The 23,691-nt window shown below is 42.6% G+C and overlaps 1 long non-coding RNA gene across 6 annotated transcripts in view; it reads right to left on the bottom strand.

Moving 5' to 3' along the window:
• The window catches only part of APRG1 (APRG1 tumor suppressor candidate), a 54,421-nt gene extending 30,999 nt beyond the window's left edge, over positions 1-23,422 (bottom strand). For 4 of the 6 annotated variants that reach the window (NR_126512.1, NR_126514.1, NR_126513.1 and 1 more), the window contains exon 1: positions 4,840-5,022. This is a non-coding gene — a long non-coding RNA (APRG1 tumor suppressor candidate). Of the gene's footprint in view, positions 1-4,839; positions 5,023-18,128; positions 19,359-21,127 lie in introns of those variants that run through there. The other 2 variants (NR_171174.1, NR_171173.1) reach the window with 2 other exon arrangements.
• Positions 23,423-23,691: the final 269 nt, after the last annotated feature.

Here is a 23,691-nt window from a genome sequence, read left to right as displayed (position 1 = left end):
GAGAGACCATCTCAAAAATAAAATAAAATAATATATATATATATATATATATATATATATATACATATGTGTGTGTGTGTGTGTGTGTATGTGTGTATATCCTCAAACTATGGAAGTGTAGAAAGGAAACATTGGGGAAACTCTCCACGACATTAGGCCGGACAAAGATTTCTTAAGTCATACTCCACAAGCACAGGCAAGCAAAGTAAAAAATGGACAAATGGGATCACATCAAGTTAAAAAGCATCTGCAGAATGAAGCAAACAGTCAACAAAGTGAAAAGACAACCCACAGAATAGGAGAAAATATATACAAACTATCCATTTGACAAGGGATTAATAACCAGAATATATGAGGAGCTCAAACAACTTTATAGGAAAAAATCTAATAATCCAATTAAAAATGGCCAAAACATCTGAACAGACATTTCTCAAAGGAAGACATACAAATAGCAAATAGGTATATGAAAAGGTGCTCAGTATCACTGATCATTAGAGAAATGCAAATCAAAATTATAATAAGATATCATCTCATCACAGCTAAAATGGCTTTTATGCAAAAGATAGGCAATCATGAATGCTGGTGAGCATGTGAAGAAAAGGGAACCATCACACACTGATGATGGGAATGTAAATTAGTACAACCACTATGGAGAACTGTTTGGAGGTTCCCCAAAAAACTAAAAATAGAACTATCATGTAATCCAGCAATCCCCCTGCTGGGTATATACCCAAAATACGAAGAAATCAGTGTATCAAAGAGATATTTGCATTCCCATTTATTGCAGCACTATTCACAATAGCTGAGATTTGGAAGCAACCTAAGTGTCCATCAACAGACAAATGGATAAGGAAGATGTGGTACTTATACATAATGGAGTACTATTCGGCCATAACAAAAGAAGGAGACCCTGTCATTTGTAACAACATGGATAGAACTGGAGGTCATTATGTTAAGTAGGCCAGGCACAGAAAGACAAACTTCACATGGTCTCACTTATTTGTGGGAGCTAAAAATTAAAACAATCCAATTCATAGAGATAGAAAGTAGAATGACGGTTACCAGAGGCTGGGAAGGATAGTGGGAGAAATAGGAGAGGGGATGGGTAATGGGTACAAAATATAATTAAATAGAAAGAATAAGCTACTATCTGATAGCACAACAGGGTGACTACAGTCAACAATAATGTATTGTACATTTTTAAATAACTAAAAGAATGTAATTGGATTGTTTGTAACACAAAGACAGAATAAATGCTTGAGGTGATGGATACATTTACCCTTATGTGATTATTACACATGGTATGCCTGTATCAAAATATCTCATGTACCCTATAAATATATATACCTACTATGTACCCACAAAATTGAAAATTTTTAAAAAAGCTGGAGTAGTTATATTAATTTCAGACATAGCAGACTTCAAAGCAATGAAAATTATCAAGAATAAAGAGGACGGTTACATAATAATAAAGGGGTCAATCCTATAAGCAGCCATAACATTTCTTAACGTGTATACAACTAACAACAGAGCATCAAAATACACATGGCAGAAACTGATAGAACTGCAAGGAAAAATAGATGAATCCACTATTATAGTTGGAGACTTCAATACCCCTCTATTACACATTGACAGATACAGCAGATAGAAAAATCAATAAAGATATAGTTGAACTCAAAAGAGCCAAGAGGCCAATTCCAAAAGGGAAAAATAAAAACAGAACAGGCACTACTCTAGCAATTTGGAAATCCTGATAAGCAGCTATTGCAAGGCTTTCCCACCCTAGAGATGGGAACTGTTTCATGATTAGGTCCAGATCTGCTCCCTGGGTGGTGGCCTGTGGGGTGGGGGTGCTTCCTGAGTATTGTTTTTAGGCTCTTGGCCCTGTGCTCTGGGAGATTCTTCCTTCTCCTTATGCTTTCTCACCATATCTAAATTGAGCATTGGAGAATATGCCCTCCCTTGCAGCTGCATTGGGACACAAACCTTGTGCAACTGCTCAGATTCCTTTGACAGCTTCCTCCAATCACAATTCCGGGAACCTGCCCTGAAGACATCCTTCCAAAGTACAAAACAACATATATACAAGGACATTAATTGCAGCCTTATTTGTAATATCAAAAGACTGGAAACAACTCAAATGTTCATCAAGTATGAAAGTATTACTCTGGTTGGTTGAATACATTATAGTACATTTATATAATGAAATACTGATGCAGCTGTAAAAAGAATGAGGAAGATCTCTCTGAACTGAAGTGACCTCCTGAATATATTGTTAAGTGAGAAAAGCAAGATACAGAACAATGCAAATAGTATGCCAACTTTTGTGTAAGAAAAAAGTTATATGTGTGTGTGTGTGTGTGTGTGTGTGTGTGTGTGTATACACAGAGAGAGAGAGAGAGAGAGAGGATTGCAGGCAAGAACTTGCAAGATGACCTTGCCTTTAACCAACATGGGGGCAACAGTGAGAGGAGCAGGTTGGGGGCACACCGGGATTCAGACTTGAACATGCTAAACTCAAGATGCCAGTTACGCATCCATCCAATCGGAGATGTTGAACAATCCCTTGGTTTTGTGAGTCTGACGACCAGAAAGGGTCTAAATTGGAGACATAATTATGAGAGTCATTGGCATACAGCTGGTGTTTAAACCCATGAAGCAGGATGAGATCACCAAGGAGACATACATAAGAGGAAAGGCCTGGAGCCTGAACCTTGGGGCCCTCCAATATTCAGTGGTCAGGGAAATGAGGATGAACCAGCCAGCAAGAAGGGAGGAGAGGGCCAAGTGAGCGGAAAGTTTCTCAAGGAGAAAATGACCACCTGTGCAGAATCAGATAGGGACAGAGAATCACCACTGGCCTTAGCAACTGACCTTGCCAAGAGAAGTTTCAGAGGAGGTGAGGAAGAGTCCTGATCAGAGAGGCTTTAAGGGGAAATGGAAGCCTACATATTGGGATAGTGAGTATAGTTATATTTTTAAAGAGTTCATCACTGAAGAGTAGTGGGAAAAGAGACATGGAGTCAAGAGAAGATCAACATTTTATGATAGGAACAATGATAGCATGTTTGTATGCTGATGGTCCAGTAGCGGGACAAACTGACGATAGCAAAAGGGAGTCTTATCATATAATTTATAAATATGAGGGAAATGACACTTTGGGAGGCAGTTAGAAAAAGTTAAAACTGTTGGCCAAGGTCATAGAGCAGGATGTGACCCATACCTCCATCCCCACCACGTCCCAGAATGAGCACAGCAGGTCTCTGGCTCTGACCATCAATAGCCACAGACCTGTGAGCAGCTTCTGTCCCAGCCACTGGGGAGACAGGCTGCCATAGAGGGACAATAAAAGTGAAACCACCTCCATTAATCAGTGCACAGGATTACATATGAATGGCTGAAGCCTTGCCAAAAAGCTCCAGCTATGACAACTGACCAAGAAAATCAAAAGGCTCTTAAGCAAAAACATGTCTCTGAGAGCTTCTATAAAGCCTGTCTGAAAAAAATGGTCACAGAGCTCACAGACACAGCTGTCTAGTCCAAGGGCAGAAGACAGAGGTCTCCATAGAACCCACTACTGCTGGGAATGAGAGGAGCAGACTGAGGGCCTATAAAAAACAGGCCCCTGGATGAAGAAATATCTCTCTCCTTTCTCATTCATAGTTGTGAGGTTCATACACTAGCCCTTGTGACGACTTGCTTTGACCAACAGAATGTAATAGATGTGATGGAGTTTGGGATCTGAGCTTAGGCCTCAATAAGCCATGCATGCTCTTATTTGCTCCCTCAGAGCCCTGTGGGGCTGCCATGTAAGCAAGCCTGTGCTAGCCTGCCAACTATGAGGGACCACACAAAGTAGAGATAAGCCATCCTAGCCCTAGACCAGCCAGCCTCAGCCAAAACAGAAGTTGGCTGCAGTTGAATGTGTGAGCCCAACTGAGAGCAGAAGAACCACCCCACTGATCCCAGTCCAAATTGCAAACCCACAGAATTGTGAGCCCATAAACAGTTGCTATTTTAAGCAGCAAACACTAACTTACATACCCAACTAATATCCACAGGTGAGCAAGTAGAATTCAGTGACTATTGGTTTACAATATATCTTTGGTTAAGAATTACTCAGTGAGACTTTAAACCTCAATTTTTGGCATTGGTACAATAGAGTATGGGCTGAGGCCAGGCTTGGGGATGAAAGGCAAAGCCTCAAGGACAGAAACAGCAAGGGCGGGAGTATGCTCAGAGGTGAACATGAAGAACGGCACGCTGCTATGGTTTGAATGTTCCCTCCAAAACTCATGTTGAAATTTAATTGCCATTGTAACAGTACTAAGAGATGGGTCTCTGGAGAGGTAATTAGGCCATGATGACTCTGACTTCATGAATGAATTAATGCCATGATTGTGGAAGTATGTTAATTATCATGGGAATGGGTTCACTATAGAGGAACACATTTGTTCTTCTCTCTCTTGTGTGCACTTTACCTCTTTCCCTCTCACCTTCTGCCATGTAATGATGCAGCAAGAAGGCCTCACAAGATGCCAAACCTTGATTCTGGACTTAGACTCCAGGACCATAAAAAATAAATTTCTGTTCATTATAAATTACCTAATCTCAGCTATTCTGTTATAGCAGCACAAAATAGACTAAGATACACACCCAGCACAATTCCATGCCACACTCCGGAAATCAGGCCTATGATCCCCATATCTCTACCCACCAGCTCCAGTGCACAAAGCCCAGTCTTCCCAGGGGTCTGTGCGACCCTCTTTCTTGAGACAGGACCTCCCATAACCTCATACAACAAATGTTTACCCCTCTTCAATGCTTATGTTTCCTTACCTTGTCCACTAGATTCTAGCCAGCATGATCCTGCCTCTGTCCACAAAGACTCACAGCAAGCACAGGCACTTCCTGCATTCTGAGGATGTGTACCAAGAAGGAGAGTGTAGAACTCGACCTGATTCCCTTACATGTTGGGGAACATGCTGAGCTGCTTATCCAACATCCTCATCCCTTTCTCCCCTGCAAAGAGAACAGATAGAAATGTGCCCAGATAGACTACATATCCCAAACTTCCTTACAGTGAGAGGAGTCATTCATTCATCCCTCCAGAACTTATTGAACACCTACTGGGTTTCAGGCAAGTTCTGGAGATGCCCCAGTGAACATAACAGATTAAGTATTTGCCCTCATGGAGCCACATGCTAGTGAGAAGAAAAGGTGACAATAGGCAAATGCCCAAGAAAATAATCTAGAGAGAGTATACCATATGGCGATGACTGCTTCGAAAATACGTAGAGTAGGATACAGGAAATTGAGTTTGCACAGCAAGAGTGGGAGCACTATTTTTTGTAAGATAGTCAAAGAGCACCTCTCTGAAAATGTCATTTTTTTTTTTTTTTTGAGATGGAGTCTCGCTCTGTTGCCCAGGCTGGTGTACAGTGGCATGATCTCAGCTCACTGCAACTTCTGCCTCCCGGATTCAAACGATTCTTCTGCCTTAGCCTCCCGAGTAGCTGGGATCGCAGGTGCCTGCCACCATGCCTGGCTAATTTTTGTATTTTTAGTAGAGACGGGGTTTTGCCACGTCCAGGCTGGTCTCAAACTCCTGACCTCAGGTGATCCACCCGCCTCGGCCTCCCAAAGTGCTCGGATTACAGGCATGACCCACCACGCCTGGCTGAAAATGTCATATTTGAGCAGATATCTGACAAAGATGATGGAAACACAACACATAATATCCAGTGCAAGAGCATTTCAGCTGGAGGGAACAGCAAATGCAAAGGCCCTGAGGTAAGAACGTGCCTCAAGGTACTGCAAGGAGAGTAGTGTGGCTGAGTAGTGGGAGCAAGCCGCAAAATGCTAGGCAATCAGAGAAGTGTCCTACAGGGCTTTTCTGGTCACTAAAAGAATGAGATGGGATCTCCTGTGGCAGGGGGTTGAACAGAAAGTGGCATGGCCTGACTTCTGTTTTAGAAGGATTACTCTTACTGGCACATTGATAAAAGATTTTAAAGGCCAAAGGCAGAAACAGGAGACAGTGCAAGAGGCCATTTTCTTAATACAGTTTTAAAATGATGATGGTTTGGATCAGGGTGATGGCAGTGAAAGCAGAAAGCAGCAGTTAGAATCCACGTACATTTTTAAAGCAGAGACAACAGGATTTGCTGGTGGATTGAAATGTGCAGCAAGCGAGAAAGAGGGGCGTCTAGGATTTCAGCCTGAGCACCTAGAAGGAGGGAACTGCCATTCACCAAGAAGACAAGGTGCCCACTGGACATCCGTTTCAGATGGAATTGTGCCCTCACCAAATTTTTATGTTGAGGTCCTAGCTCCCAATGTGACTGTATTTGGAGATAGGGCCTTATCAAGGTAATTAAGATTAAATTAAGGCCAAGTACAGTGGCTCATGCCTATAATCCCAGCACTTTGGGAGACCAAGGCAGGAGGATTGCTTTATACCAGGAGTTTAAGACCAGCCTGGGCAACATAAAGAGACTCTATTTCTACAAAAAAAATTTAAAATGTAACTGGGTGTGGTGGCATGCACCTGTAGTCCTCACTACTCAGGAGACTAAGGCAGGAGGATCGCTTGAGCCCAGGAGTTCAAGGATGCATTAAGTTGTGATTATATCATGCCACTGCAGTCCAGCCAGGGCGACAGAGCTAAAGTCTGTCTCAAAAAAAAAAAAAAATTGGTCATGAGGGTGGGGTCCTAATCCAATATGAAAGAAAAGGCCACGCAGACACATGGAAGTGGCCATGAGCAAGTCAGAAAAAGAGGCCTCAGGAGAAAGCAAGACTGCCTAAAACCTGATCACAGACTTCCAGCCTCCAGAACTGTGAGAAAATAAGTTTCTGTTGTTCATCCAGTCGTGGTTTTTTTGTTATGGCAACTTGAGCTGACTGATAAAAACATTCAAGTGGAGATGTGAACTCAGCAGTTACATAGACACGGCTGGAGTTTGGTGGCGAACTCTGAGCTGGAGATGTATAGCTGGGAGTTGTCAGCCCTTCAGTGGTCTCTGAAGCCGTGAGACTGAATGAGTTCGTCTAGGGAGTATGGGGAGAGGCTTCAGCAGTGATCCTCAGGGCACTTTACAGAGGTTGGGGAATGAGTGTTGGCAGCAAAGGAGACTGCGAAAGGAGCGGCCAGTGGGGAGAGGTGAGAAAGAACACCCAGAAGGCAAGAGGAGGGAGTGGCAAACTGTCACATGCTGATGAGAGTTTGAGCAAGATGAACACTGAGAACCAATCAGTGGATGTGGCAAGATGGAGGTCACTGGTGATCTGGAAAAGAGTCGTCTTAGTGTAATTGTGGGGTGAACCCCTGACTTAAGTGGTTCAGAAAGAAAGGTGGCAAGAGTCTGGAGACAGAGAGTGCAGGCAACTCTTTCAAGAAAGGTCTAATACAGAGTAAATCAATGGAGCAGATGTTGAAAGGGATGTGGGGACAAGGCAGAAATGTGTTATTGTTCATTTTGTTTCGTGTTTGAGTGGGAGCAATTACAGCATGTTTATAGGTGAGAGAACGCAGACTCCGTAGAAAAGTGAGGCGCTGGCTTCAGATAACAGCATTGGATTCAACTACAGAAACAGGAGGGATGGTAGAGTTTATGGGACTAATAAAATAAGTTTGAAGGCCGGGCACGGTGCCTCAAGCCTGTAATCCCAGCACTTTGGGAGGCCAAGGTAGGCGGATCACAAGGTCAGGCGATCAAGACCATCCTGGCCAACATGGTGAAACCCTGTCTCTACTAAAATATAAAAAATTACCCGGGCGTGGTGGCACATACCTGTAGTCCCAGCTACTCTGGAGGCTGAGGCAGGAGAATGGCATGAACCTGGGAGGCAGAGCTTGCAGTAAGCTGAGATGGTACCACTGCACTCCAGCCTGGTGACAGAGCAAGACTCCATCTCAAAAAAAAAAAGAAAAAGAAAAAGAAAAGAAGTTTGAAGAAGTGGTGGGGAAATAGCCCTCCTCTTCTCCAATTGCTTCTATCTTCTCAGTGCAGTAGGAAGCTTGGACTTCAGAGGAGTGAGAAATGAGGAGGAGGTGGTGGAGGTGTGAGGAAAGACATGCATCATGTATGCACTGTGAGAGTGCAGGGACAAGGGAACATGGAAAGTTTCAGGCACACATGTAGGGCCCCATTTGAAGTCAGTGGTTGTGAATCTCAAGTGGGCAAGTGAGCACAATCCAGCAGATTCTCCAGCCTCCTCCAGCTACCAGGCAAGGAGTGAGTGGAGGTTGGATGGAACCAGGGTAAGGGTTTTGCCAGATGAGTTCCATGGTGGGAGACAGGCATGGCAGCTAAAGATGTGTGACAGTAATGCTGGGCTATGGAATCTAGGATGGCCAAGGAGAAGTGTGAGGAAACAAGCAATAGAGATGTGGCTGGTGGAAGGACAGGAGTAGGAACAATATATCTTAAATTTGTCCTTCAGTGTTGAAAAATGTTGAGTCGTGCCAAAAGAGGAAAGTAGTTGGTTGCAGAACAGGACGCACAAAAATTACAGACATACCTTGGAGACATTGCTGGTTCTATTCCAGACCACTCCAGTAAGGTGAATATCACAATAAAGTGAGTCACACAAATGTTTTCATTTCCCAGTGCATATAAAAGTTGTGTTCACATTTTACTATAGACTATTAAGTGTGCAGTAGCAATATATCTAAAAACAGCAATGTGCAAACATTAATGTAAAAATACTTTATTGCTAAGAAACACTAACGATCATCTGTGCCTTCAGCTAGTCATAGTGTTTTTGCTGGTGAAGGGTCTTGCCTTGATGTTGATGGCTGCTGACTGATCACGGTGGTGGTTGTGAAGGCTGGGGTGGCTGTGGCAATTTCTTAAAATAAGACACCAGTGAAGTTTGCCACATCGATTGACTCTTCCTTTCACAAAAGGTTTCTCAGTAGCATGTAATGCTCTTTGACAGCCTTTTACTCACCATAGAACTTCTTTCAAAATTGGAGTCAATCTTCTCCAACCCTGCTGCTGCTTTCCCAACTAAGTTTGTGTAACATTCTAAACTGTTGTTATTTCAACAGTGTTCACAGCATCTTCACCAGAAGGAAATTCCAGCTCAAGAAACCACTTCTTTGTTCATCCATAAGAAGCAACTCCTCATTCATTTAAAATTTGTCATGAGATTGCAGCAATCCAGTCACATCTTCAGGCTCCACTTCTAGTTCTCTTGCTATTTCTACTACATCTGCAGCTACTTCCTCCACTGAAGTCTTGAACCCTTCCAAGTCATTCGTGAGGGCTAGAATCAACTTCTTCCAAACTCCTATTAATGTTGATCTTTTGACCTCTTCCCATGAACCACAAATGTTCTTAATGGCATCTAGAATGGTGAATACTTTCCAAAAGGTTTTCAATTTACTTTGCCCAGATCATTCAAGGGAATTACTATCTATGGCCACTATAGCCTTATGAAATATATTCCTTAACTATTGAGACTTGAAAGTCAAAATTACTCCTTGATCCATGGGCTGCAAAATGGATGTTGTGTTAGCAGGCATAAAACAACTTAATCACTTTGTACATCTCTATCAGGGCTCTTGAGTGACCAGGTACATTGTCAGTATTTGAAAGGAATCTTTTTTTTCTGAGCAATAGGTCTCAACAATGGGTTTCACATATTCAGTAAACCATGTTGTAAACAGATGTGCTGTCATCCAGGCCTTGTTTCATTTCTAGAGCATGGAATAGAGTTAGCATAATTCTGAAGGGCCCTAGGATTTTTGGAATGGTAAATGAGCATTGGCTTCAACTGAGAGTCACAGGCTGCACTAGCCCCTAATGAGAGAGTCAGCCTGTGTTTTAAAGCTTTAAAGCCCTGCGTTGACTTCTCCTCTCTAGCTATGAAAGTCCTAGATGACATCTTCTTCAAATAGAAGGCTGTTTCATCTACATTTAACAACCCCTTCAAAAAGTGGGTGAAGGATATGAACAGACACTTCTCAAAAGAAGGCATTTATGCAGCCAACAGACACATGAAAAAATGCTCATCATCACTGGCCATCAGAGAAATGCAAATCAAAACCACAATGAGATACCATCTCACACCAGTTAGAATGGCGAGCATTAAAAAGTCAGGAAACAACAGATGCTGGAGAAGATGTGGAGAAATAGGAACACTTTTACACTGTTGGTGGGACTGTAAACTAGTTCAACCATTGTGGAAGACAGTGTGGCAATTCCTCAAGAATCTAGAACTAGAAATACCATTTGACCCAGCCATCCCCTTATTGGGTATATACCCAAAGGATTATAAATCATGCTGCTATAAAGACACATGCACACGTATGTTTATTGCAGCACTATTCACAATAGCAAAGACTTGGAACCAACCCAAATGTCCAACAATGATAGACTGCATTAAGAAAATGTGGCACATGTACACCATGGAATACTATGCAGCCATAAAAAAGGATGAGTTCATGTCCTTTGCAGGGACATGGATGAAGCTGGAAACCATCATTCTCAGCAAACTATCACAGGGACAAAAAACCAAACACCACATGTTCTCACCCATAGGTGGGAATTGAACAATGAGAACACTTGGTCACAGGAAGGTGAACATCACACACTGGGGCCTGTTGTGGGGTGGGGGGAGGGATAGCATTAGGAGATATACCTAATGTAAATGACGAGTTAATGGGTGCAGCACACCAACATGGCACATGTATACATATGTAACAAACCTGCACATTGTGCACATGTACCCTAGAACTTAACATATAATAATAAAAAAAAAATCTGTTGTTTAGTGCAGCCACCTTCATCAATGATCTTAGCTAACTTTTCTGGATAACTTGCTACAGCTCCTACATCAGCACTTGCTGCTTCACTTTGTACTTTAATGTTATAGAGATGGCTTCTGTCCTTAAACCTCATGAACCAACCTGTGCTAGCTTCCAACTTTTCTCCTGCAGCTTCCTTACCCCTCTTAGCCTTCATAGAATTGAAGCAAGTTAGGGCCTTGCTCTGGATTAGGCTTTGGTTTAAGGGAATGTTATGGCTGGTTTGATCTTTCATCCAGACCACTAAAACTTCCTCCATTTCAGCAATAAGGCTGCTTCACTTGCTTATCATTCATGTGTTCACTGGAGTAGCATTTTTAATTTCTTTCAAGAACTTTTCCTTTGCATTTACACCTTGGCTAACTGTTTGGCACAAGAGGCCTAGCTTTCAGCCTATCTCAGTTTTTTTACATGCCCTCCTCACTAAGCTTAATCATTTCTAACTTTTGATTCAAAGTGAGAGGGATGCAAGTCTTCCTTTCACTTACAGGCCACTGTGGGGTTATTAATTGGCCTAATTTCAACATTGCTTGCATCTCAAGGAATAGGGAGGGCTGAGGAGAGGGAGAGAGACTGGGGAACCACAGGTCAGTGGAGCTGTTAGCACACACACAACATGTATCAATTCAGTTTGCTTTCTCATATGGGTGCAGTTCGTGGCAGCCTAAAATAATTACAGTAGTAACATCAAAAATCACTGATTACAGATGATGATAACAGATATAATAATAATAATAATAATAATAATGAAAAGTTTGAAATATTGTGAGAAATACCAAAATGTGACAGAGCACATGATATTGGAAATATGACACCAATAGACTTGCTCAATGCAAGGTTGCCACAAACCTTCAATTTGTAAAAAAACACAGTATCTGCAAAATTCAATAAAGCAAAATGCAATAAACCAAGATGTGTCTGTACATTGTGGAGGGATGCAGATGCCAAGAGTTGCAGAGCTCAGAGATTTTAGGAAAGGAGGAGACAGCAGCCTGGAAACTGCAAGGTGGACATTGGCTCCATCTTCAGTTGCTTTGATCCAAGAGGGATGGGAATAAAAGCACAACCCCCTTTCCTCTCCCTGACATACCTCCTGGAAAAAGCTGCAGGAATATTGGAGTCTCAGAGGCATAAGATTTTCCATTAAATCAAGAAAAAAAAAGAAAGTTTAGAGGTGGAGGATTGGAGAGATTTTGCTTGTGATTTGGCATGAATTTGAGAAGGCCCAGTGGAAACTTTTGGAATCACTAAGTCTAGGACTCAAATCCTACCTTTCCAGTTATTGGCCATGTAGCTTTTGGCACACTTATTGACCTCTGGGATGACCCAGGTTCCTTGCCTATGGCTGTTGTGAAAGTTAAAGAAAATAAGGCATGCAGAGTGCCCAGTATAAAGTGGCCGTCAGCCAGGGCCACACTTCTGATGCTCAAACATGTTTCAACGACCATCTTATCAGTTGCCTTCAAAGCAAAAGTTCTTTCTTCCTCCTGGCTGCTCATGCTTGCACTCTTTTGCCCTCTCTCTCCCAACTACCTCCTCCTCCTCTCCACACCCCAACCATAGTTAAGCAATTCTAACATATCCCATTCTCCCAAGGAAAGAATCCAGTTGTATATTATCACAAGATCACAATGCACCTGAAGTTTTCTGATCTTTAGGGATTTTCTTGAAGCATCTATACTTAATATGGCTCAACAAAACTCAGTTTCAACCTTTTTTTTTTTTTTTTTTTTTTGGAGACAGGGTCTTGCTCTGTCACCCAGGCTGGAGTGCAGTGGCGGGATCATGACTCACTGCAACCTTGACCTCTCAGGCTCAAGTGATCTTCCCAACTCAGCCTCCAGAGTAGCAGGAATTACAGGCTCATGCCACCATGCCTGGTTAATTTCTTTTTATTTTTCTTTCTTTTCTTTCTTTCTTCCTTTTTTTGGGGGGTTTTTGTTTATTTGTTTTTTGGTGGTGGAGATGGGGTCTTATCATGTTGCCCAAGCTGGTCTTGAACTCCTGGATTCAAGCCATCCTCCCACCTTGGCCTCCCAAAGTGCAGACATTCTAGGCATGAGCCACCACTCCCTGCCTCAAATTTTAAAATAGCTATTGAATGTGGTTAAAGGGGAATCCTAATTAGTAAAATGAGGATGACAATACCTCCATCCTGGGAGGACTTAAATTAGCCTGTGTAAGAAGAGTTCTTTATGCTGAACCCAAAAGGAGCAGATGCTCCATAAATGCCCCTTTCTCCTCCTTCTCCTTTCTTCTTAAAAGAGATGCCCAAGGTGCACAAGGAAGCTGTGTCTTTGATATGTTTCAGGTTGCCCCTGTAACGTGAATTGGGAAAAAGGCAATAGCTATTTCATCCTCAAAATGCATCTAATGTCTCCTCCCTGTGTCCCTGCTCCCTGGCTGTGTGTCCATTACTGGCTCTGTAGGGAGTGCCTAGGGCTGCCTTGACTCCTTGTTCGTGACCTCACCTTCCAGGTGAGTTAAACCTCAAGAGTTTAACTTCCAGCTGATATTTGGTAAAGTAAATCTTCCCTCTCACCACTCCTATTCAACATGGTATTGGAAGTCCTAGTCAGAGTAATCAGGCAAGAGAAAGAAATAAAGGGCATCCAAACAGGAAAAGAGGAAGTCAAACCCTCCCTGTTTGCAGAGGACATGATTCTATGTCTAGAAAACCCTACAGTCTCAGCCCCAAAGCTCCTTCAGCTGATAAACAACTTCAGCAAAGTTTCAGGATACAAAATCAATGTACAAAAATCACTAGCTTTCCTATACATCAACAACAGCCAAGCCAAGAGTCAAATCAGGAAGGCAATCCCATTCACAATGCCACAAAAAGAATAAAATACCTAGGAATACAGCTCACCAGGGAGATGAAAGATCCCTACAGTGAAAATTCCAAAACACTGCTCAAAGAAATCAGAGAAGACACAAACAAATGGAAAAAGAGCCCATGTTCATGGATAGAAAGATTCAATATCATTAAAATGACCACACTGCCCAAAGAATTTATTTACAGACTGAATGCTATTCTTATCAAACTACCAACGACATTCTTCAGAGAACTAGAAAAAACTATTTTAAATTTCAAATGGAACCCAAAAAGAGCCCAAATAGTCCAGGCAATCCTAAGCAAAAAGAACAAAGCTGGAAGCATCATGTTACCCGATTTCAAACTATGCTATAGGGCTATAGTAACAACAACAACAACAACAAAAAACCATAATACTGGTACAAAAACAGATACATAAGCCAATGGAACAGAATAGCCCAGAAATAAGGCTGCATACCTATGACCATCTGATCTTTGACAAAGCTGACAAAAACAAGCAATGGGGAAAAGACTCCCTATTCAATAAATGGTACTTGAATAACTGGCTGGCCATATGCAGCAGACTGAAGCTGGATTCCTTCCTTACATCATATTCAACAATCAACTCAAGATGGATTAAAGACTTAAATGTAAAACTCAAAACTATAAAAACCCAGAAGGCAACCTGGCCAATACCATCCTGGACATAGGCACGGGCAAAGATTTCATGACAAGATACCAAAAAGCAATCTCGACAAAAACAAAAATTGACAAATGGGATCTAATTAAACTAAAGAACTTCTGCACAGCAAAAGAAACTATCAACAGAATAAACAGACAACCTACAGAATGGGAGAAAATATTTGCAAACTATGCATCAGACAAAGGTCTAATATCCAGCATCTATAAGGAACTTAAACAAATTTACAAGAGAAATACAAACAACCCCATTAAAGGATGGGCAAAGGACATAAACAGACACTTTTCAAAAGAAGACATACATGTGGCCAACAAGCATATGAAAAAAAGCTCACTATCAGTGATCATTAGAGAAATGCAAATCAAAACCACAATGAGGTACTATCACTTACTAACCAAAATGGCTATTATTAAAAAGTCAAAAAATAACAGATGCTGGTGAGGTTGCAGAGAAAAGGGAACACTTATACACTGTTGGTGGGAGTGCAAATTAGCTCAACCATTGTGGAAAGCAGTGTGGCAATTCCTCAAAGAGCTAAAGGCAGAACTTCCATTCAACCCAGCAATCCCATTATTAGGTATATACCCAGAGAAATATAAATCATTCTACCATAAAGACATATGCACACGAATGTTTATTGTAATGCTATTCACAATCACAAAGACATGGATGACTATTGGGTACTGGGCTTAATACCTGGGTGATGAAATCATCTGTACAACAAATCCCTGTGACACGAGTTCACCTATGAAACAAACATGCACATGTACCCCTGAACCTAAAATAAAAGTTTAAAAAAGAAGTTGCTAGCCTAGATATATGCCCAAGAGAACTGAAAACATATGTTCACATAAAAGCTTATACAGCAATGCTCATAGGAACATTATTCACGAATAGCCAAAAAAAGGAAGCAATTGAATGTCCATCAATTGAAGAATGGATGGATAAAATGTGATCTATCCATACAAAGGGATATTACTGACAGTAAAAAGAAATGAAGTTCTTATACATGCTACAACATGGATGACCCTTGAAAACATGGTGCTAGTTTAAAAAGCCAGTCACAAAAGGCCATATATGATTGATTCCATTTCTATGAAAGCAATGGGGGAAAAGACTCCCTATTGTCCAGAATAGGCAAATCTACATAGATAGAAAGTAGATTAATGGTTGCCCCAGGGTGAAGGGGTTAGGGAAGGAGGGAAATGAGAAGTGACGGCTAGAGGTTGCAGGATTTCTTTGGGGGTGATGAAAGTGTTCTAAAATTAGATTGTAGTGATGATTGTAAAACTGTGAATATATTATACTAAAAACAATTGAATTGTACACTTTAAATTGGGAAACTGTGTGGTATTGAATTACATCCCAATAAAAAAATTTTTATAATACCTTATTAATGTCTCTCATGCCCCTGTGGATTGACTGGGCTCAGCTGAGTGATTGTCACTTGGGATTTCTCATACAGTTTGGTCAGATGGTGGCTGGGGCTGGGTCTTGGGAAGGCTTTATACTTCCTAGGCTGAGAGAGCTACAACCTCTCAGGACTGACCAGGCATCTGTCTCCACATGGCTAGCTTGAGTTTTCTTACAAGTATGGCAGTCTGAGAGTAGTCAGACTACTTATATATATATGATGGGTAGCTCCTCTCAAAGTGAACCTTCCAGGAAAAGGAAGTAGAGTTTGAGACCAGCCTGGCCAACATGGTGAAAACCTGTCTCTACAAAAAATACAAAAACTAGCCAGGCCCCATTTGAATTTAGGTTAGTAATTGATTACTTTGACCAATAGAATGTGGCAGAGTGACAGTGAGCCAGTTTCTGGTTGCAGGATCTAAAAGACTGAGGCTTTTAGATTTATAAATAAATAAAACAAGTAAGAGTGGATGAGCTCTAAGTGAGCAGGAGAACCCAGAACCCTGCCTTTTATCCTCCACCTCCTTCCATCACCCCAGTCCCTGCAGAGTTCCCTGAAGCACTCTTTTGGAACTGCAGGGCTACACAAAACCTAGCTTGAAAATTGTGTATTTAGAGTTGTAATGGCAAACAGCTTTTATGTCGTGTCTGAACTCAATCGATTGGTAGCAGTTGTGGAGGACTGAGCTGAAAAGTGTTTTGGTAAACTGATTAAGTGCCCCAAATCTTCACCCCTCACTGTATTCGCACCCTTATAATGTGACTTTTGGGCTCCTCCCATCGAGAGTGGTGTGAATCTCCCCCTTCATTCTGAGTTTGGTCAAGGTTGTGACATGACAGAAGCTTCAAAAATGCCGGCAGGTTGCCACTTCTGTTCTTGCACCTCCAAGTTTGCCATAAGAACGTGCCCGGACAGCCTCTGGAAGGATGGCAGAGTTTTCCAGAAAGTTTTCCCTGCACAGCCAAGGCTCCCCAGCTAAGCCCCAGACAGGTGACCCCCAATTGACAGCCTGCCACCCTGCAGGTCACGTGAGGAAGCCTAGCCAAGACCAGTCATCCAGCCTGAATCACTGACCCAAAGACTCTCTTGGGCTAAACAGACATTTGTTATAAGCCACTGAATTCTGGGTGGCTTGCATTGATTGTGGCAATAGATCACTGAGACGTGTTGATAGTTATGTCTGCCATGGGCACAGGAAGGCAGCCAGCTGCATCCCTGCCAGGCATTCTGGGAGAATTGACGGACTGCCTGAGCTTCAAAGCATTCTCCATGTCCCACCATCCCTGGCTTTTTCACACATTACACACCACAGGCAAAAGCCCCGTTTCAGAGATTCGCCCAAGATCACCTTCCCTGTGGTAGAGCCTGGGGATGGGTCCAGTCATGAACCTCCTAAGAGACGCTTGGGAAGTCAGTGGGCAGAAGTGAGGCTGGATTTGGCACCTGTTACTCAGCCATCATTCCACAATCCAAAACTGGGCAGAGGGAGAAAGGGGGAGCTGACACATCCTTGAAAGGCATAGATAATACCCTCCCTCCCTTAAGATCAGTCTCCAATCATTTAGTTGGCTTGACTGCAGTCATTCACACCTTCAGCTGGACGTGGAACAGACTTCCCAACTCGTGCCTGGGATCCATGTGTGGATCTGCTCAGTAAGAACTGAGCAGTGGGCCAAGGGGCCTGGGGGCTGGTCCAAATCCTTGCCTGTGAAGCTGTTTAGACTGTGGCACTTGGTGGCAAAGGCCAGCTGGCTGTAACCTCATTCTCCTGGGCCCAAAGAGTGAGCAACAGGGTGCACACAGCTCTAAAAAACAAACTTGACTTCAGGCAGCTCCTTCTTTTCCCTTCCTCTGAGAGGCCCAGATTACTTTGTGCATTGCATTCAGCTTGAGCAATGGAACACCCCACATGCATTTCCTTTTTCAGAGTCCACACTGGCAAAAGCTGCTGTTGCAAGAGTTTGGTTGCAAAACTGGCCCTAAACTTTCATGGAAGGAGATAAATGGCTTTCAGCTGAAAAACATCAAAGACTATTTTGGAGTTGTTTCTTGTTACAGTTTAGGATGAGGTCTAAGAAATTAAGCCAGACATGGTGGCGTGCACCTATGGTCCCAGACACTAAGGTGGCTGGGGCAGAAAGATCGAGGCTGAGGCAGGAGGATCACTTGAGCTCAAGAGTTCAAGGCCAGCCTCAGCAACATAGCAAGACTCCATGTCTTACCAAAAAAAAAAGAAAAGAAAGAAATTAGCAAAATGTACTGGCTTTCAACTTCTGGCCCCTATCTGCCTCTAGCCTCGCCTCCCGCACTTGCCTCACACTTCGTCAGCAGCTCTCACTTGCTGTGGGCTCACATTCACACAAACTGGACTATTTCTTACCTTTTGCTGGTCCTTTTGCCTTGGAAGCCTTCCCTGACTTCACTGGCTCTCTTCTACTCCTCTTCTAAGCCTAAGACCAGGTGTCACTCTCTCAATGATCAGTTAGGTGCTCCTCCTCTTGGCTCTCATGACACCAGCACTTTCTTCTGTGTACCTATGTTAAGGTTTCTTCCAGATTGTTTTATCATCTCTCCTTCTTGGGATGCAATCTTATTTGTGTGTCTGTGGCTGCTCCCTCTCACGAATTCATTTCTTCTCATGGCTTGGAATCTTTCCCGCTAGCTCGTCTTCAGCAGGGTGATTCTCCATGGAAGTTCCAGCACCCTGGGATATGCAGGCATCTTTTAGCTTCTCATCAGCTTATGCTGGGATTCTGAGGGCTTCAGGGCAGTGTTTATGTTCCACTCCTTGCCTGGAGTTCCTGCATGACTTTATGTTCCTGCATCACTCACGTGGTGTGAATCTGAACTTCACACACGCACACAGTTCAGGCTCAGCCTCGAATTGCTCACAGGCAACTCTTCTTCTATCCACTGACCGGGGCAAAGTGCAGCTTCTTCTGCTTTCCCAGACTGGATAGCAGAGGGTTTTGGTCTTTGGTTTTTGTTTTTTTTACTTCTGGTTTAATGGATGGACCAGTCTTCAGTGCCTCCTGGGTTTATGTAAGAAGCTCAAGTCTAGCTCCCCACCTACAGGGGTCTGAAAGTTTCTATCAGACTCATCTGGTGCTCCACTCACAAACTCTTGGCCTCCCCTCTGATTCAGCCATGGCTGGGGTGGACAGTGCCATGTGGGCTTAGGTTCATTATATATGACAGTGTCAGCCTCAAGCATACAACCAGGCCCCATGAACCAGTTCCATTCCCTCCCCAACCAGCCTCAAGAGCCTGTGATGGGGCAGGATCCAGGGGTCAGGTCTGGACCAAACAGGATGATTCCTTGGGACAGCTGGGATCAGGCTTCGTCCAAGGGTTGGTTGTGAATAATAGTTACGGAGCCCTGGAGGCCAGAATTAGGGTTAACTCTGAGAGAATATAATCAAAGGTCAGGAATGAAGGGCAAGTTCGAGACTGAGCAGAGTTGAGGTAAAAGGAAAAGGCCAAGAAGGTTAGACCCAGTGGTTAAGACTGCGAAGCTGCTACGGTTGACACAGGCAGGAACAAAGTGAGCATGTGTATTCTCATTGAATACTGGCAGTAGGATTACTGGGCAGCCATTCACCTCACAGACCTAGGGTAGAGCAAAACAAGCCTGGATTATCCCAGGGTAATGCAGCAAGGTGGTCACCAACAGACTAATAGAACACAAATAGGACTAATAGAGAACCTGATGGCAATTCTGGCTTTAGGCTCAGGAAATCCTGAGTTTTCTCCAACAGACTTAGAGCCAAGGTTAAAGCAGGGGCCCCCTCCTGAGCTTTCCTTCGGGCCTGCCCCAGAGAAGCCCTGGCTGCTCCAAGTGATCATTAGCTTTGCAAACACTAGAGTTCAGCTTGACACAGCATCTCAAGGATCCCTGCAGGATGAGGGCACAGAGAGATGAAATAGACCCACTTAGAGTGGGGTGCCTCTGAGGTCAGAGGGAAAGGAAGGAAATCCTGCTCTCAAGGCAGGACAGTGTGTGAGAAAACAACAAGGGCTGGAAAGGACAGCCAGATTGGTGAAGCCCCTCCCTGCAGTCTTTGCTTGTCTTTTTTAATGAGTCTTCCCTTTGCCAACCTCCAGGCGAACGTGGGCACCTCTTTTGGCTTAGGCTCTTCTCTGTAAGGTCTTCCTGGCATTGGCAGGGGTTGGTTCTGGGCAGTTGGTGACCATAGTCATTAGCATCTTGCCTATTGTGGCCAACCACAAAAGTGCCTGGCTTTAGTTTTGTTCAACCTGCATTTTACCTGGCACTCTTGCATGTTAATAGTTAATAATTAATAATTTCAATCTTATAAGCTATTAACAAGAGGCTGGCAATAGACAATTTTAATTGAGCTCTTACTGTGTTTCAGACACCATTCTAAGCATTTTATAAGTAGTAATTCAATCTACAGCCACGCTTAGAGGTAGATGCTATTATTATTCCCATTTTATAGATGGGAAAAATGAGGCTTACAGATTAGTTCCCTTGCCTAGTGAGCAAATGGTCAAGCCAGAACTTGAACACTGACAGACTGGCTTTCTTAGTCTGTTCTGTGCTGCTATGACAGAATATCAGAGACTGAGTAATTAATAAAGAACAGAAATTTATTTCTCACAGTTCTGAAGCCTGGGGAGTCCAAGATCAAGATGCCAGCATCTGGTGTGGAACTTCTTTTTGTGTCCTCACATGGTGGAAGGCAGAAGGGCAAGAGAGAGAAAATCCACTCCCACAAGCCCTTTTTATAGTGGCATTAATCCATTTATGAGGGCGAAGCCCTTAGGATCTAAACACCTCCCCAAAGGCCTCACTACCCAACACTGTTGTGCTGGGGATTAAGTTTCCAACACACAAATTTTGGGAGACACATTCACTCCATAGCATTGGCCCCAGGGGCTGTACTCTTAGCTAGTAGCCAATGCTGCCTCTCCAGGAGATTAGGAAAAATTAAACTCAGAGGACAGAGTCTTCTTCTGGGCCTATGCTAAATTTCAAATCAAAGAGGCTCAAATCCCAAAAGAAAAACTTATCTAGAAAAGAAGGAATGCCCCAGGGTCTGTTGTTCCCCTTTTTGTGTTCATGAGTTCTCATTATGTGGCTGCTACTTGTATGTGAGAACATGTGATATTTGGTTTTCTGTTCCTGTAGTTGTTTGCTAGGGAAAATGGCCTCCAGTTCCATCCATTTTTCTGCAAAAGACATGATCTCATTCTTTTTTACAGCTGCATAGTATTCCATGGTGCATCTGTACCACATTTTCTTTACCCAATCTGTCATTGATGAGCATTTAGGTTGATTCCATGTCTTTGGTATTGTGAATAGTGCTTCAGTAAACATTCAGGTGCATATGTCTTTATGTTCCTTTGCGTATATACCTGGTAATGGGATTGCTGGGTCAAATAGTAGTTCTGTTTTTAGCTCTTTGAGGAATCACCACACTGCTTTCCACAATGGTTGAACTAATTTACACTCCCATCAACAGTGTATAAGTGTTCCCTTTGCTCCGCAACCTTGCCAGCATCTGGAGAGGATCAGAAAAAATAACTATTGAGTACTAGGCTTAGTACCTGGGTGATAAAATAATCTCTACGACAAACCCCTATGACACGAGTTTACCTATATAACAAAGCTGCACATGTACCTCTGAACCTAAAAGTTGTTTAAAAAATTTAAAAAAACAATAATAATAAAGTAGGAATTAAAACAATAGAGAGCTTTTTCCAGCTGTACTCATTCCCACTGGTGTGTCTTGATCAGTTGTGAGTTGTGTTACAAGTAATTGGTTCCTTAAAATAGCAGTATTTGTGATTAATTGACTTATAAAATAAGAGTCCATATTCTGCCCATAACTGTGTTTCTCATACTCCCTTGCATTTCCATGTGCCTTCTCATTGGAGAAAGAGGTGATATTCTCAGTCTTTTCAAAATGTTTTGTTTTTAATTACAGAGAAAGTACTGATACATTTTATCCCCTTTCTTACTCACTTTTTCATTAATTTATTCACTCAGTACATGCTTATTGAGTGCTTACTACATATTCTAAGTGTTAAGGATGCAACAGTGAGCAGGATGGATAATGTTCCTGCCCTCTTGGAGTTTTCATTCTAGTATGAGGAAAAAGACAATAAACAAATAAACACACAACATGAGGGCAGACAATACTAGATGCCATAAGAAAAAACTAAAGAAGTGTGAGGAAACAGAGATTGGGTGGTAGTGATCAGGGAAGATCAGTTATAAACACCATGGTGAATTAACTATATATCCTTCCAGTTTATATATGCATACATTTATTAAAAGTATGTATATCTGTGACAATACATACAACTTTTAAAATTTACATAAATAAAATCACATTGTATTGGAGACTTCTGCTTCTGGGAAGATAGACATACTTCTCCCTATGCCTCCCACAGAATGCAACTAGAAACACTGGACATTATATATAAAACAAATATAACACTCTAAAAGACGAAGCGAAGCCAGACCAGCTAGAGACCTTGGGACCTAAGGAATGCCATGGTGGTGAGTTCCCTGGGTTTTCTCTTTGCTTCATAGATCCCTGACTTGGAGCTGAAGAAGCCAGCTACCTGGAAATGCTGAATTCAGACCAAAAAAAAAAAATAATCTCCAAAAAAGAACTCCTCTCTCTAGCCAAGGAACCAGGACAGAGGCAGCCTAGCAAGACAGAAAGCTTTCAGACAACTGTCTACTCCAGCCAAACACCACAGAAAATACTGCAGGCCCACCCCCATTCATGCCAGCAAATGTCGAGTGGACAGCCTAGACCTCTAACATCTGCCAAGCTGTAAAGGAAGCACACTCTGTCCAGGGTGATGTCAGAAAAGGCCACGTAGGAAGCATCCCTGGTGGGAGGCAGTGAGACCTTCCCACCATATCATGTCCCCATGTCAGTGGAGACCATATGGGAAGTCTGGACTTCCACCCCTGTGAAGGGTAAAACAACTTCATCTTGGATGCTAATTAACCCCAGTTGCGGGAATTCTTCTGAGATTTCTTTCACATACTTACTAAATCCTGCCCTTAGGTCAAACAACCTTAATGTTATCCTGTACTATCATATTTGGGATTAAGATAAGATGTGTGTGTGTGTGTGTGTGTGTGTGTGTGTGTGTGTGTATATGTGTATACATATATGTAATTAGTGGAGGCCTACTGGGTATCAGAGGAGGCCTACTGGGGAACCCTAACTCTACACCTCCACCCAACAGTAATAAGGAGACCCTCCCCAACTCCAGGTGTTAATGAGGGCCAAGTGGAAAACCTAGACTTCTGCCCTCACCTGGCAGTAATGGTGTGCCCCCAACTAGGTGCCCTTCCCCGTCAAAGTGTGTCAAAAAGGGCCAGCTAAAACAGAAGATCCAGAGTTTCATAATATCCAAAAGGTTCAGGTTTCAGTTGAAAGTCACTAGACATACCAAGAACCAGGAAAATCTCTACTTGAGTGGAAATAGATAATCAGTAGATACCAACACCAAGATGACAGAGATGTTAGAAATATCTGGCAAAGATTTTTTAAAGCAGCTATCCTACCAACACTTCAATGAGCAATTACAAACATGCTTGAAACAAACAAACAATTCTCATCAAAGAAACGGAAGCTATAGAGAGCCAAGTGGGAATTTTAGAACTAAAATATACAATACCAGGAAAAAAAAAAAAAACCCTCAATGATGGGTTCAATAGCAGAATGGAGGGTTCCAAAGGAAAGAATCAGTGAACTGGAAGACAGAACAATAAATTACACAACGTGAACAACACAGAGAAAATAGGCTGAAAAAATAAATGATCAGCGCCTCAGAGACCTGTGGGACTACAAAAAAAGATCCAACATTGTGTCACTAGAATCTCAGAAGTAGGGTAGGGCTGAAAAAACACCTAAAGAAATAATGGCTGAAAATAACCCAAATCTGGCAAA

The sequence above is a fragment of the Homo sapiens genome, chromosome 3, assembly GCF_000001405.40.
Source record: "Homo sapiens chromosome 3, GRCh38.p14 Primary Assembly".
NCBI classification, from domain to species: Eukaryota; Metazoa; Chordata; class Mammalia; order Primates; family Hominidae; genus Homo; species Homo sapiens.
Note: the sequence above shows the minus strand (reverse complement) of the source record. Positions and strands in the feature narration are given on the sequence as shown.